This window comes from Homo sapiens, chromosome 18 (genome assembly GCF_000001405.40).
Source record: "Homo sapiens chromosome 18, GRCh38.p14 Primary Assembly".
Lineage (NCBI taxonomy): Eukaryota > Metazoa > Chordata > Mammalia > Primates > Hominidae > Homo > Homo sapiens.
In genome coordinates this window covers 79,895,663-79,911,150 of record NC_000018.10, presented here as the reverse complement: position 1 = coordinate 79,911,150, position 15,488 = coordinate 79,895,663, and the positions used below count along the sequence as shown (strand labels likewise).

At 52.8% G+C, this 15,488-nt stretch overlaps 2 protein-coding genes across 15 annotated transcripts in view, besides 3 other annotated features; one reads left to right on the top strand and one right to left on the bottom strand.

The window, feature by feature from the left end:
* SLC66A2 (solute carrier family 66 member 2) overlaps nucleotides 1-8,731 on the top strand; it is a 49,234-nt gene extending 40,503 nt beyond the window's left edge. For all 14 annotated transcript variants that reach the window (NM_001146343.2, NM_001146345.2, NM_025078.5 and 11 more), the window contains one exon: nucleotides 6,968-8,731. In NM_001146343.2, coding sequence (NP_001139815.1) covers nucleotides 6,968-7,029 — 62 coding nt within the window. In that variant the 3' untranslated portion in view covers nucleotides 7,030-8,731. The remainder of the gene's footprint in view (nucleotides 1-6,967) is intronic.
* Nucleotides 6,349-6,984: an enhancer, noted in NCBI's record as "H3K27ac-H3K4me1 hESC enhancer chr18:77664167-77664802 (GRCh37/hg19 assembly coordinates)". NCBI's record gives its function as "activates a minimal SCP1, AML or CMV promoter by ChIP-STARR-seq in naive H9 embryonic stem cells {active_cell/tissue: H9 hESC(naive)}" and the evidence as "EXISTENCE:reporter gene assay evidence [ECO:0000049][PMID:30033119]".
* Nucleotides 10,308-10,602: a silencer, noted in NCBI's record as "tiled region #11655; K562 Repressive non-DNase unmatched - State 18:Pol2". NCBI's record gives its function as "represses a minimal TATA promoter and a strong SV40 promoter by Sharpr-MPRA in K562 cells {active_cell/tissue: K562}" and the evidence as "EXISTENCE:reporter gene assay evidence [ECO:0000049][PMID:27701403]".
* The window catches only part of KCNG2 (potassium voltage-gated channel modifier subfamily G member 2), a 102,163-nt gene continuing 97,725 nt past the window's right edge, over nucleotides 11,051-15,488 (bottom strand). Inside the window, exon 4 of the mRNA NM_012283.2 lies at nucleotides 11,051-12,111. Within this exon, the coding sequence (NP_036415.1) occupies nucleotides 11,335-12,111 (777 nt within the window). The 3' untranslated portion in view covers nucleotides 11,051-11,334. The remainder of the gene's footprint in view (nucleotides 12,112-15,488) is intronic.
* Nucleotides 11,568-11,862: a silencer, noted in NCBI's record as "tiled region #1467; HepG2 Repressive non-DNase unmatched - State 18:Pol2". NCBI's record gives its function as "represses a minimal TATA promoter and a strong SV40 promoter by Sharpr-MPRA in HepG2 cells {active_cell/tissue: HepG2}" and the evidence as "EXISTENCE:reporter gene assay evidence [ECO:0000049][PMID:27701403]".

The window sequence follows — 15,488 nt, the reverse complement described above, 5'->3', positions numbered from 1 at the left end:
GACCCCCGATTTCCCTCCAGACAGCAAAGCAGCCCACGCTGTTCCAGGCTCTGCTCTTCCTTCCTGGGGGCTGGGCTCAGGCATCACCTTCCCACTTGTCCCCACCTGAGGCCGTGGTGTGGGTGCTGCAGTGAGCCTCTTAGCCCTTCCCCTGCCACACCTGGCAGCCAGGGGCATTCCAAGTTGCAGACCACATGGCTTTACCTGATTTTACAGTGGGAGCTAAAAGCTGTCTCTCTAGGTCTGGGTTGCTTGCTTTGACTGTTTCACTGAAGATAGTTTGAAAGTTGTTCACAGTTAACTTGTGTGGCCGCTGTGTGAGGAGGGACGTTGTCTGTCAAAGCAGCCAAAACAAACGTGCCCTGGCCTCCTCCGTCTACACTGGAACACGCCCAGCCATATGGGAAACCCTGGGCAAAATAGACACAGTCAGCAGATTCTCCGGGGTGCCACGTTTCTCTATTTTACACCTGTCTTTGGTCCTTTATATAGGATTTGTGTGGTTCATATGGTCTCTTTTAGAATGAGAAAATGTTAAATTACAGCTTAAACTTGCCTTAAATTACAGCTTAGTTCATTCATGTGTGATGCGAAAAAAATGCTCAAATTTAGAAGAGAGTGAACTAGAAAAAGTCTTGTGAGATGGTGGGGAAGGTTGGGGACTCTGTTGTGAGATGGTGGGGAAGGTTGGGGACTCTATGGTGAGGGTGTGGGGAAGGTTGGGGACTCCGTTGTGAGATGGTAGGGAAGCCTGGGGACTCTGGTGAGGTGGTGGGGAAGGTTGGGGACTCTGGTGAGGTGGTGGGGAAGGTTGGGGACTCTGGTGAGGTGGTGGGGAAGGTTGGGGACTCTGGTGAGGTGGTGGGGAAGGTTGGGGACTCTGGTGTGAGATGGTGGGGAAGGTTGGTGACTATGGTGAGGATGTGGGGAAGGTTGGGGACTCTATGGTGAGGATGTGGGGAAGGTTGGGGACTCTATGGTGAGGATGTGGGGAAGGTTGGGGACTCTGGTGAGGGTGTGGGGAAGGTTGGGGACTCTATGGTGAGGGTGTGGGGAAGGTTGGAGACTGGTGAGATGGTGGGGAAGGCTGGGGACTCTGGCGAGGGTGTGGGGAAGTCTGGGGACTCTGGTGAGGGTGTGGGGAAGGCTGGGGACTCTGGTGAGGTTGTAGGGAAGGCTGGGGACTCTGGTGAGGTTGTGGGGAAGGTTGGGGACTGTGGTGAGATGGTGGGGAAGGTTGGGGACTCTATGGTGAGGGTGTGGGGAAGGTTGGGGACTCTGTGGTGAGATGGTGGGGAAGCCTGGGGACTCTGGTGAGGTGGTGGGGAAGGTTGGGGACTCTTGTGAGATGGTGGGGAAGGTTGGGGACTCTATGGTGAGGATGTGGGGAAGGTTGGGGACTCTGGTGAGGTGGTGGGGAAGGTTGGGGACTCTGTTGTGAGATGGTGGGGAAGGTTGGGGACTCTGTTGTGAGATGGTGGGGAAGGTTGGGGACTCTATGGTGAGGATGTGGGGAAGGTTGCGGACTCTGTGGTGAGATGCTGGGGAAGGTTGGAGACTGGTGAGATGGTGGGGAAGGCTGGGGACTCTGGTGAGGGTGTGGGGAAGGTTGGGGACTCTGTGGTGATGTTGTGGGGAAGGCTGGGGACTCTGGTGAGGTTGTGGGGAAGGTTGGGGACTCTGGTGAGGTTGTGGGGAAGGTTGAGGACTCTGTGGTACTCTGATGGGGAAGGTTGGGTACATCGTGGTGAGGAAGACTGGGGACACTGTAGTGAAGTTTCTGGACTCACCCTTGAACTACACATGCATAGATCTGGCCCTAAACTACATGCCAACAGCTTTGTGAACTCAGTGTCATTGTGGACAGTTGACTGCTCAAGTCCCAGTCTTGTCTCTGAGTGTTGCACATGAAAGACAGATCCAAAGATCAAAAGGGAGGTTTTGAAATGGAATTAAATTGAACTGCAGTCCACCAAAAACAAGTCAGACCTCACACCCTGAATCTAACCACATGAAGTGCTTGGTAGCAGGAAAAGCAACACTGTTGATAGGACCATGGAAGACTCACATCTCACTGCATAATGTTCAGAATGTCCAAGATAAAAACCAAAGTTATGTATGAAGAGTTGAGTTTCTCAGCTGCCAACGGAAATGACAGTCAATAGAAACCAACTCAGGCTGACAGATCAGACTTATCCAAGATTTTGAAGTCACTGTTGTAACTGTGCTCTAACAGGTAAGAGCAAACGTTCTTGGAATGAACGGGAAGACCGAACATCTCCATAGAGAAATAGAAGTTTAAAGAAAACCAAATAGATAATTTTAAATTGAAAAATACAATAATCTAAATAATATATTTCACGACACAACTGTAGAATGGAGATGAGAGGAAATAGTGAAGTTGAAGGCAGATCATTAAAAAATGTCCATTCTGAACAGGAAGCAATTGAAAAACAGTAACAAAAACATGAATAGAGTCAGGGACAAATTCCAAAGGGTCTAATATTCTGTCATCTGAGCCCAGAGGAGAGGAGAGTGTGACACAGAGGAAAAATAGCTGAAGAAATAAGGGCTGAAAACACCCAAAATTTGGTGAAAGACAAACATAGATGTAAGAAGTTCAGTGAATCCCAAACATATCACATCACAATCAAACTGGTAAGAATCAAAGTCAAATAAAAAATGTCGAAAGCAGTTAAGAGGAAAAGGATCCAAATTACTATGGGTTTCTCACCAGAAACGAGGGAGGTCAGAAGGAAGTGGCACATTTTTCAGATGCTGCAAGAAAAGAACGTTTGACCCAGAATTCTATATTCAGGAAAAAAAAAAAAATTCCTTTAGGAATCAAGGCAAAATAAAGACCTTCTCGAATGAAAGGAAACAAAGCGAAGTCATGGGCAGCAGTGCTACTCAACAGGAAATACTAAAAAAAGTTCTTCCGCTGGAGGAGAGCAACTTGGGACTCCAGGAATGAAGGAAAACCAACAGAAATGGCCAATATCTGGGTAAATATAATATATATATTTTTCTTCTTAAGTTATTTAAAATATGTGTGAAAGTTAGCAAAAAATATAACATTGTCTGGTGGGGTTTTTAGTGAATGTAGCTGTACGTGACAAGTCCAATGTAAAAGAGGGAGACGATAGTGAACTTGGTGCTAAGACTTCTGCATTCCACTTAAAGTAATAAAATGTTGATCCTAAGGAGACTTTGACAAGTTAAATATATTATAGTCCCTAGAATAAGATTTTTCAACAGCAGCACTATTGATACTTTGAACTGGAGAATCCCTTATTGTGGGGGACTATCTTGGTATTATAGGATGTTTAACAGCATCCGTGGTCCCCTACACACTAGATACCAGCAGTGTTCCTCCAGTTGTGACAACTAAAAATGTCTCCAGGAATTGCCAGATGTTTCCTTGGGCAGGGGTGTGAGGATGGGGTCATAATCACTCCCATTTGGGAACCAATGCCCTAGAGCACTAAAAGAACTATACAGGCCTGACACGGTGGCTCACGCCTGTAATCCTAGCACTTTGGGAGACCGAGGTAGGTGGATTGGCTGAGCTCAGGAGTTTGAGACCAGCCTGGGCCACGTGGTGAAACCCATCTCTACTAAAATACAAAACATTAGCGGAGTGTGGTGGCGGGCGCCTGTAGTCCCAGCTACTTGGGAGACTGAGGCAGAAGAATTGCTTAAACTGGGGAGGCGGAGCTTGCAGTGAGCTGAGATCGCGCCACTGCACTCCAGCCTGGGTGACAGAGCGAGACTCCTTCTCAAAAAAAAAAAAAAAACAACCAAAAAAAAAAAAAACTATACAAAGAGATACAGTGAAAAACCAAATAGATAAATTAAAATGGGATATTTTAAAAATTTCAAATAATCTAAAAGAAGGCAGGAATAAAACCGTAGGGACAAGCTGAGACCAAAAAAAATTAAAATGGTCGATCTAAATTCAAACCTGTCAATAATAACATTCAATGTAAATGGCCTAATCATACCAATTAAAGGACAGCAATGTTCAGATTAATTTAAAAAGAAACACAAGACTCAGCTACCTGCTGTTTACAGCAAACTCAATTGAAGTCTGATTACATCCATGGCGGATGCTGGGGTGCAGGATGTATTGACCAGGAGGCCATGCAGTGAGAGATGCATATATGAACCAAAGAAAGCTTGGAGTCGCTGTATTAATATCAGGCAAAGTAAAGGACATTTGCCTTGAATAAAAAAGGACATTGCATCATGATAAACTGGTGAGTTCACCAAGAAGATACAACAGTTCTGAGTGTGTATGCATGGAACCCCAGAGCCTGGAAGTCCATAAGGTCAGAACTGACAGAAATGCAAAGACAAATCCCCAGTTGCACTTAGGGACTCCAGCTTTCCTCAGTAACTGATAGAAAAAGCAGACAAAGTTAGCAAGGATGTAGAAAATCTGAACACCATCAACAGCCAAGTGAACGTGCGCATTCTTTTCAGATGCCCGTTGGGCATTCACCAAACAGACCATATCCTGGGTCATGAGAATTTTTTTAAAAAAGAACTGAAATTGTGCAAAGTATTTTCTATGAATATAATATAATTAAGCTAGAAATTAATAGCAGAAATAGATCTTAAGTCTCCAAAGGTTTAGAAGCTAAACAACACACCTTTAAACAATCTGTTAAAGAGGATATTGCAAAGCAAACTATTGAAAATATTTTGAACTGAAAAATACACCACCATATCAAAATTTGTGGGATGCAACTAAAGCAATGCTTAGAGTTAAATGTGTAGTATTAAATACTGATTTTAGAAAAAAGTTCTCAAATCATCAATCTAAGCTTAAGAAACTATAAAATGAAATGCAAAGGAACCCCAAGCCAGCAGAAGGAAGGAAATAACGGAGCTAACACCAAGCAACAAAAATGAAAACAAAACTGCAGCAAACATAAAAAACCAAACTGAAAGCTGGTTCTTTGGAACAAATCATTAACTGATAAACCAGTGGCCAGAATGACAAGAAAGCACAGATCCCCAGTATTTGGTATGGAAGAGGATATTCTGTAGACCCCACAGGCATCAAAAGAGTACAATGAACAACCTCATGCCCATACATTTGAAAATTTGGATAAAATGGACCAATTCCTTTAACCCAAGAAGAAATAGCTTGAGTATCTCTTAAGTAGATAACCCGTATCTATGAAGGAAGTTGTAGATGCATAATCTAAAGTCTGAAAAGGCTCTTTTTCCAGAGAAGCCAGAAATTGTGTCTGTGTGTGGGTGTGTGTGTGTTTACAGAGTTACCAACTGATTAGAAACAAAGTGTTGAAACTCAAGTGTGAGCTGATGCTGCATGCCAAGTAAAGCCACGGGCTTTGTGTGGGAAGTAGCCTGTCCCTGAAGCAGGCGTGGTGGTGGCTCTCAGGCCTTGAGTCTTGTTCGCAAGCACATCCTGGGAAATCTCAGCCGTGTGTGAGGGTCAGGCGAGCTCTGTTTCCCATCCTGGTGTGAGGGGTCAACCGGAAGCTGCGTGGGGCGAAGGTGACCGGTGGCGGGGTCACCGCGCAATGCTCGGGCGCCTGCTGTGTGCATGGCTAGCGCAGGAAAGGCAGGCGCCTTTGCACCGGGGCTGTGGTCCCAGGCCCGGAGCCCCACCCCAAGTCAGCTGTGCAGCCCTGCCTGGGCCTAAAGCAGGCAGGGGGGAATTCCGAAGCCTGGGCTGACTGCTGGGGTGTGTGAGAGGCCGAGGGGCCTGCACCACCTTCCCCCGGTGCTACCCAGGCACCACCCTGTCTTTTTGTCTGTGGAAGAGACTGGATTTTGTGGAGCTGGAGCTGCATCCAGGGGAGGACACATCCCAGAGAATAAAAAATGGGAGGAAAATGCCCTCTGTGGGTCAGGGCCTTATAATTTAGCTAAACCGACCCAAGTGGAAACAGTCCCAAAGCCTCCTGGTTTTTCCCAGTGGGTGTAATGATAAAGCCGGATTTATGTTCTCAGAGGCCAACAAGATGCTCTAGAGCCGAGCACTGTGGGCTTGGGAGAGAGGAGGGGGTGCAGATGCCGGCTGTCTCCTGCGGGTTCCTAGCTCCAGCCCTGAACACACCCGGCCATGGCTGTGCCTGAAGACTCTCACACAGGGCGGCTACGGCACCCAGGTGCCCACCCTGGCTTATGAGCGGGACGGACGCCCCAGGGTGGGGGAGGGCTGTGTCCTGTCCTTTCTGTCCAGGCAGCGCTCCCCACCCAGGCTCTGCCTCTGGCTTCAGGAGCTGTGGAAGGGTCAGCGGCCGCTGATTTAAACATTTCACACGGGAAAGTGCAGCAGCACTCATGTTCACTGCTAGGCAAGCCAGGGCATGAACACAGCGGTGGGGGAAGCGTGTTCGGACTGGGATGGTGGGTGGCGGCTGCTCCCTGTTCACTCCAGGAAAGGAAGGTTTGCATCTATCACCAGGGAGGGAGGCCGGCAGAGACCCAAAAGCAGCTGCTCTGCTCCACTTGGCTGTGTGCCTGGGGGCACAGATCTGCGTCCTCAGCACCCTCCCAGGCCCGGCCCCTCCCAGAATTGCCACCGCGCACCAGGGGCCCTGACGTCAGCTGCTCGCCCTGCTGTCCCCTGTAGCCTCGAGCTGGTCTCACTGTTCTTGGGCTTGCAGAGCCCCAGCCAGGCGGCAGCTCTTGCGGCCACAGAGAAGTCAAGGGTGGGGGTTGCATGGGACAGGTGGGGTCAGGGTGTGTCCTTTGGCCCCCTGGGGTGTCCCTGACCCCTGGGTCACCCTGTAGACTGGGTGTCCCCTCAACCCCCTGGGTGCCCCCTGAGCCCCAGGCCTCCCCGCCGACTGCCTGGGGGTCCCCTTAGCCCCCTGGGTGCCCCTGAGCCCCAGGTCTCCCCGCTGTCTAAGCCCCAGGCCTCCCCACTGACTGAGCCCAGGTCGCCGCCCTCCCCACCGCTGACCGCCTGCTTGTGTCTCCACAGCATCAAGATGGTGCTCATGTGGACCAGTGGTGACGCCTTCAAGACGGCCTACTTCCTGCTGAAGGGTGCCCCTCTGCAGTTCTCCGTGTGCGGCCTGCTGCAGGTGCTGGTGGACCTGGCCATCCTGGGGCAGGCCTACGCCTTCGCCCGCCACCCCCAGAAGCCGGCGCCCCACGCCGTGCACCCCACTGGCACCAAGGCCCTCTGACAGTGGGGAGGACGAGGATGTGGGACCGCCAGCCGCGGGCACTGGTGGGCCCTGACCTCCCCGCGGGGAGGGTGGGTGCTGTGGCCCCTGCAGGTGTGGCAGAGATGGGGCATGGGCATTGGGGTCTCCATCAGCCTCTGTGGGGTGTCTCAGGGTGGGCAGTGGGGGTGGGGCTGGGACGCTGTTTGTGCTCAGCGGGGACAGCCAGGGTTGATCTGGCCCCGAGGGTTTTGGATGTTTTTAGGATGACATAAAAAGCAAGTGTTTTCCCCATTTCCTCTTATGAAACACCGTCTGAGCCCAAGGTACACATTGGGCGGCCTGCAGGAACCTGCTCCAGGTGGACACACGGGCCAGCAGCCGCGAACCTTGAAGCTGGGGTGACCGCAGGAGACCCTGTAAGGCCTGTGAGCGGAGCCCTCGACCCCGTGACACCCTGGCCAGACACCCTGCTTGGACTGGGGTGGCCTCTGCTACCCAGGGGTCTGGCACGGGGGAGGGCTGGGGCTTTCTCTGCCTGGTACACACGGAAAGGCGGCTGTGCGGACGCAGGGTCACCGTGCTCCGGGTTTTCTGACAGTCGGTGTTTCCTGGGCCTTTGGAGTGGCTGCGAGGCCTGAACGCCTTGTGGATCCGCTGTGTCCAGCCCGGCTGAGCATCGCCAGGGCTAGCTCATGCTGCTCTTGTCAGCCTCTGGTTCTCCTCGAGTCCTTGGGGACGTGGCAGATGCCAGCGACCATCAGACAACGTGGAGGCCCTCATGGGCAATGGCTGAGGGGGCCGGGCTGAGGCTGTGCACATGCAGTCTGCACGCCACTCTTGGGCTCTGCTGGCGGAGATCCCCTTCCTTCTGGGTGCAGACTGCACCTCCGGATGCAGTTTTGATGTCCATCTTCCAGGAGAGACGGTCTCGGGTCCAGGGAGTGGAGGGGGCTGCCCCTGCCGTGCAGGTCCTGGCCGATGGCGCCTTACCCTGCTGCCCTGGGCTTTTGGCCTGAAGCAAATTCCTGAGTGGGGGGTACTGGGGCCTGCCGCATCCTGTCCTGTCCACTGCCCACCCCCGTGTGCTGGCTCCCTCACTTCTGGCTGCAGTGGGAGCCGCCAGTCTGACCCTTGTCACCGCACGCTCTGCCCCCACCCCGTTGCAAGAGGTCACACCATGTCAGCAGCCTTGCACTGACCGCAGCCGGCCCCCAGGCCTCAGAGTTCTGGATGCTTCCGTGCGGCTCCAACAGGCATCGTCTTCCCTTCCGCAGGTGGAGGGGCCGCTTCCCGCAGGCATCTGAGCTCTGTGCCGGGGCCGTGGCCATGGGAAGATGTTCCACGCTGCCTCCTCCTCGAGTTTTCCTCGGAAACACTCTTGAATGTCTGAGTGAGGGTCCTGCTTAGCTCTTTGGCCTGTGAGATGCTTTGAAAATTTTTATTTTTTTAAGATGAAGCAAGATGTCTGTAGCGGTAATTGCCTCACATTAAACTGTCGCCGACTGCAGGCGCAGTGACTGCTGAATGTACCCTGTGTGGCGACTTGGAATCAATAAACCATTTGTGGATCCTGAGTTGGCCTTGGGCAGAGGGAAGGATCTGGCTGTGGTCCTGGCCTCTGCCCAGACACACCCTTGTAGCCTGGGCCACCTTAGAAGGCCCCTGTGTGACCTGGGTTCCTCCAGGGCCCCAAACAACAGCCCAGCCCCCTCGACCTGTCACTGGCCTGTGCCTGTGGGCCGGCAGCCCGGGGGTCCTTTTGGCTCCTCACAGACGGGTCTGGCACTGCCTCTAGCTGCCCTGGCCACATCCGCCCTTCTGCCTCCCACCACCGAAGGCTTAGAGCATGGGAAGGGTCTCCTGTAAAGGCCAAGAGAAGTGTTTCCAGATTTGCGATCTTGGAGCAGCACATACAGATGGAGCTGTGTGTGCATAGCGATTTTTTCTGTGCAGTTTACATTGAAGGCAAGATGTTTCTTTGTCCAGTAAAAAACCAGGTGTGTGGGTGCAGGGCAGGATTTGGGTTGAAGGGCCCATCTGGGTACTAGGAGAGGGCACAGGCCACGTCCAGGCAGCAGCCTGGGGGAAGACTGGAGATGATGAAGGCTAGCGTGTCTGGAACGTCTCAGATGCAAATCGCCCTCCTCAAGTGCTGGCGGGCGGTGCCAGATGAACCCGAGATCTAGCGCAGGGATGGGGTTGTGTGTCTTCAGGGTGTGGAGACAGGCGGTTCTTGGGGACCACTCTGGGTTTTAACAGGAAATGGGAGCAAGGTCTCAGCCCCGCACTGCAGGGGCCGTGGCAGGTGGGGGCAGCGGTGGAAATAGCTGCGTTTCTGAACTCTCAGGTCACTGCCACCCTGTGATGCCTTCTGATGGTTTTAAGCAACAAAGAAGCACCAAGGAAGCAGGAGGCCGAGGAGGGCTCCCAGTGAGGGCCCCTCCGTGGGAGAGAGCGGGTTGTGAGAGCCTGGGAAGTTCACATTCCCCTCACCCCATGAGGAAACTGAGACCTGCCCTGAGCCCCAGCCCTGTGCCCTTCCCAGGGGCTTGTGTGAGAGAGCGGCCCACTGGGCACCTGTAGAGTGAAAAGGATGCCCAGGGGCTGGGTGGGCCGCTTGCTCAGGAGGAAATGTACCCCCACCCCAGTCTCAGCACAACTGCCTGGCACCCCCATCCTGGTGACCCAGGGTGGTCTCTGGTGGGCCCTGGTCCTGGAGGGCTCTGGGATTCCCCCACCAGACCCTGCAGCCCAGGGTGGGGAGGGGCAGGTCCGAGACCTCCTATCCCCCGTCATTCCCCACCTCTGACCTGGCCCTCACCTTTGACCTGACCCTCCGAGGAAGAACAACTTGTGTTTATTTCTGGGGGTCTTCGTGGTGGTCAGCACCTCACCACACAGGAGGAATCCTTCTGTCTCTGGGGGTCACCAGCAACGCTGGGACAAGCAGCAGAGGGTGGGGGGCACCGGCCTCGGCGTGTGGCCCCTCGGGCTGTCCTGCACGGGCCTCTCAGACCGGTAGCAAGCTCTGCTCATTCCTGAGCGACACCCAAGGCTGTCACTGTTAGAGGGAAGCCCTCAGTGCACAGCCAGTTCCCAGACCCTCCCCCGCGCTGTGTGCCTGGCGTCCTCGGACCCAGCCATGTCGTGGGCACCTGGGGCACCAGCTGACCTGCCTGTCGGGGGAGGCAGGTCTGAGCCCCAGGTGGTCCCGGTGGGCTGTTGCCTGCCATGGAGAAGGGGCTGGGGCTTGCACTCAGCCACTCACCGGGGCCATGCACGTCTCCTGCCCTTTCTCCACACCTGCGTCCCCTACAGACTCCTGCTGCCGTGTAATGGACAGTGGGACCCTCTGGTGAGGTGTCCCCCTCCTGCTTCGGGCTGCGGCCACCATGTCTCAGGTTTCCTGGATGAACTCATTAAAATGAAGCATAGAGCAGCGCGATGTCGAAAGTTCCTTCCAGAAGAACAAGGCCATGTTCTGGGACAGGAGGATCCCAGAAGAACAAGGCCATGGAGGGGTTGCAATGCCACACGCAACCTTGTGCAGAGGGAGTGTCAGGAGGCCCTTGTCACCCTCCCGGAGGTCAAGCCTTAAAGATTCCCTAGGGAGGTGGTGTCAGGGGATGGAGGTTAGAGGTCAGGGCTGGAACCCTCTTCCCCGACCCCCGAAAGGGCGGTTACTGCGGTGGCACTGGGGGTGCTGTGAGCATTGGCTCAAACCTCTGTCCCATCCCTGGGAAGGTGATGTGGCCTTGGGCAGAGGTGGATGCGGAGGGCCTCCTTCTGCAGGGACCTGCCCATTCCGGATGCCATGGGGGCTTGGCAGGGGCCGTGCTCCCTCCTCCCTGGCTGGAGGCAGGGGGATGAAGTCATCCACAGCAGGCGTGGAATCTCTCGGACTTACTAAATTTATTTTTAGCTAGGCGTAGAAAATTAAAAATCCAAGGAAAGGGGTGGGGCAGGAGGACAAAGGCCAGTGACTTTGCCCAGCGCTGCCACGGGGAGTCAGGCAGGGCCCCGCCAAGTTCTGGGGCTGCTCACGCACGAGGGCCGAGGACGCGGCCGGCAGGAGCCGCTCCCCCAGGCCAGACGCCCCCCACCCCTTGGCGCACCTCGGGGGTCCCGACGCTGCAGCTGGAGGGGGCAGGGGGTCTCCGTGTGGGCGGCGCAGGCGTCAGCGCCCTGCCCGCACCCACAGCGCATCCGCGGAGTCGTCGGCCAGGCCCGCGCTGTCGGGGCCCTGCGAGCTGTCCTCGGTGGCTGTGGCCGAGTGCGTGCTGTCCTCCTGCAGGGCCGGCTCGGGGCTGGCCGCGCGCTGCTGCTGCTCCTTGAGCTCGGAGTAGGAGCGCGAAAAGGTGTGGAAGATGGAGGTGACCGGGAAGGCCATGAGCAGGATGCCGCTGAGGATGCTGCTGAGCGCCACCACCTGCCCGGGCAGGCTGCGCGGGACCATGTCGCCGTAGCCCACGGTGGTCATGGAGATGACGGCCCACCAATAGCTGGCGGGCACGCTGGAGAAGTCGCGGCGCGCGCCCAGCTCGCGCTCGGCCAGGTGCACCAGTGGCGCGAAGAGCGCCATGGCCACGCAGAGGAACAGCAGCAGCAGCCCGAACTCGCGCGCGCAGCGGCGCATGGTCAGGCCCAGCGAACGCAGCCCCAGCGAGTGGCGCGCCAGGCGCATCACGTAGAGCACGCGCAGCGCACGCAGCAGCCGCAGCACCAGCCCCGCGCGCTCCAGGAGCTTGGTCCCGCCCGGGCCTGCCGCCAGCCCCAGCAGCAGCGACACGTAGAACGGCAGGAGCGCCAGGATGTCAATGATGTTGAGTGGCGCGCGCAGGAAGGCGCACTTGCTCTCGGCCTGCAGGGAGCGCAGCAGGAACTCGAAGGAGAACCAGGCCACGCACACGGTCTCCAGCACGAACAGGCTGCGGCACTTGGGGGAGCACTCGCCCTGCGGGGAGAGGGGACACGGGGTTGGGGGCGCAGGCCTCTTGGAGGGCCGGGGGCGCCTTGCCCTTCCTTTCCCAGGACCAGAGGCGTCCCCCAGGCCACCCTTCCCGCCCCAACCCACGGAAGCGGGTGCAGGGGATATTGACAGGCCCAGTTCCTGTTGGAAAAACCCAGAAAACCAGCAAGATTTCATGGTGATCACTTCGGGCTTGAGAGCGGATGCGCTTAGCTGACCCAGGAAACTGGTGAAAATAATGTTAAAACCCCTGACCTTTTAAAGCCTTGGGAAATGGTCTTAAGAGCAAACAGCAAACGAAGAAACATCTATTTATATGTGAAAATTCTGGAAGAAAGGTGAGCATTTGTGGTATCTGTGTCAAGACTGCATCCTCCTTCTCAGCTTGGCCAGGGGGAGACGCCACGTGGAATGGCTGCAGCCACGAACACAGACCCCCACCCCCACCTCCACCCCACCCACAGCTCCCAGTCAGGAGGGCTTCTTCCCTAGAAAGGGCTGACATCAGCATCTCACATTCCGCCCTCAGCTCCTGGGGCTACGTCCTTGGGGAGTCCGGTGGAGGGGTGGGGCTCCCTCCTCCTGCCCAGTCCCCACTCTCGTGGGTGGGAGGCTGGCCTTGGGTGTGGCACACTGAGAAGGCAGGGCCTGACTGCCCTTGCTGCAGTGATTCCAGGCCAGGAGAGGCCAATGGGGTCTCAGGGTGCTATCAAGCTCTCAGCTCCTAGAGAGGGAGGGTGTCATTCACACTGAGGCTCGCAGCTGTCCCCATCCCCCAAATCCCTGGCTCAGAGATTCCTGCCTGGAGGGAGATGAAGGAAGTAATCTCTTCTCAAAGGAACTGACTTCCTTTGCAATGGAACATGAAGAAGTTTACACCGAAGGGCACTCTCAACGCTATTGGAGGTGGTGGTGAAGGGAATTAGGATTCATGCGTGTGCTGACCACGTAGCCTAGACTGCACGCTGGCTAAGGTGCCGGGGAATGAGGGGAGAAGACAGCTGGCAGGAGCCCTCCTGGGGTCAGAGCAATGTCAGGCACTCTCAGAAAGCAATGAGAAGGAGCTGCGATATGAGCAGGTTGTAAAGGAATAACAGAGCTTTCAGCTGGCTGCTAGGAGTTTAACTACTGGGTGTGGTCAGTGAGACAGAGAAGAGGTTGCTCCCCAAGCCCTGTCATCCCAGGGTGACGGTGGCACACTGGTGCTTCGACACCGAGACTGTTGCTGGGGAGGAAGAGGGGCACACAGGCATCACAACAGTAAGCCAGCCAGTCACCAAAGACTAAACCAGTGAATAACAGGCCCAGGATGGGGACTACCAAAAGGGCTAGAATATCTTGTCTAAAATGTCCAGTTTCTAACAAAGAATGACAGGGTATGTGGAGGAGGAGGAGGGAAGGAAGAAAAAGAAAAAGAAGGAAAGTATGACTCATACATTAGGAAGAAAGCAACAAAAACTGCTGTGAGAGTGACCAAATGTCAAATTTAACTGAATGAGATTTCAAAGCAGCCACTATCAATATGTTCACAAAACTAAAGGACGCATAAATGAACATGCCACAAATAGAGGCTGTTGGTAAAGAGATGGACATTTAAAAAAATACCCAAACGGAAATTCTGGAATTGAAAAGTGCAATAATTGAAATAAAATAATTTAAAAATCACTAGAAAAGCTTAAAAGTAGATTTTAACTGGCAGAGAAAAGAATTAGTAAACATGAAGAGTTTGACAGGAATTATGCTGAAGAATAGAGAGAAAAAGAATAAACCAAACAGCGCTTTAGGAAGTGTGGGACACCGTTATATGCACCAATATATGCATAATGGGAATACCCAAGGAGAGGAGAGAAGGGAAAAGAAAAACTATGCAGAGAGATAATGCTGAAAAAAAAAACAATTTTTTAAAAACAATAACCTACATATCCAGGAAGCTCAATGAACTCCCAGCAGGATAAACACAGAGGCCCGCAGGTGGACACATCATAATACAAGTAACGAAGGTCAAAGACAAGGAAAAAGTATTGAAGCAGCAAGAGCAAAATGAAGATCACTTACAAGGGAAGTTCACAAATAAACGGCTGACTTACCAGCAGAAACACTGCAAGCCATAAGGCAGTGGGATAGCACATCCAAAGTGCTCAAAGGAAAAAAACCCTGCCAATCAAGAATCCTATATCCAGCAAAGTTACTGCTGAAAAATGAAAGTAAAAAATAAACACTTTCCCAGGTAAACAAAAATAGAGAGAATTCACTGCTAGCAGACCTGCCTCACAAGAAATACTAAAGAAAGTTCTTCAGGCTGAAAGCAAGTGAACCCAGATGATAATCTGGATCGACACAAAAAGTGTTAGTAAAGGTAATTATGTAATTAGAAAAGACACTATAAATGAATTTTTTAACGGATTTGAACAGCAACTGTATAAAAATAAGATGTATATAACGTATTAAGCTTGCATCATATAGAAATGTAATATATGTGCAATGTATTTGCCAATAAAAGCACAAAGGAGGTGTGTGGGAGCAAAAGTGTAATGGTCTAAGGAAATGACAGTGAAGCAAAAGCAACAATTGTAACAATGTGTATTACAACAATCGCACCAAAAGGGAGAAAAGTGAATACAGCTCTATAGGCATAATATCTCCATCTCACTGGAATTACGCACAAACCTGAAGTAGGTTCTGATTATTTGTGGTAAACTCCAGAGCAACCACTAAAAGAAAGAACTAAAAAAAAAAAAAACTTTAAAATATCATTAGTGGGCTGGGTGTGGTGGCTCATGCCTGTCATCCCAGCACTTTGGGAGGCCAAGGCAGATGGATCACCTGAGGTCAGGGGTTCTACACCAGCCTGGCCAACACGGCAAAACCCTGTCTCTACTAAAAATACAAAAATTAGCTGGGTGTGGTGGCATGCGCCTATAATCCCAGCTACTTGGGAAGCTGAGGCAGGAGAATTGCTTGAACCCAGGATGTGGAGGCTGCAGTGAGCAGAGATTGTGCCACTGCACTCCAACCTGGGCAACACAGTGAGACTCCATCTCAAAAAAAAATACATATATATATCTAATTAGTGGAATTAAAATGCTCCATTAGAAAATATTCACCCCATGCAAAAGAAAGCAGTTAAGGAAGGATACAGAAACAACGTGCTCCGTGAGGTGCATGAAACAGAAAATAAGATGTGGCAGACACAGACCCAACTATATCAATCAAAACAGTAGATGTGAATGGAGTGAACAACCCAATGAAAAGCAGACACAGATCCAACTATATAAATCATAACATTAGATGGGAATGGAGTGAACAACCCAATCAAAAGCAGACACAGACTCAACTATATCAATCGTAACATTAGATGTGAA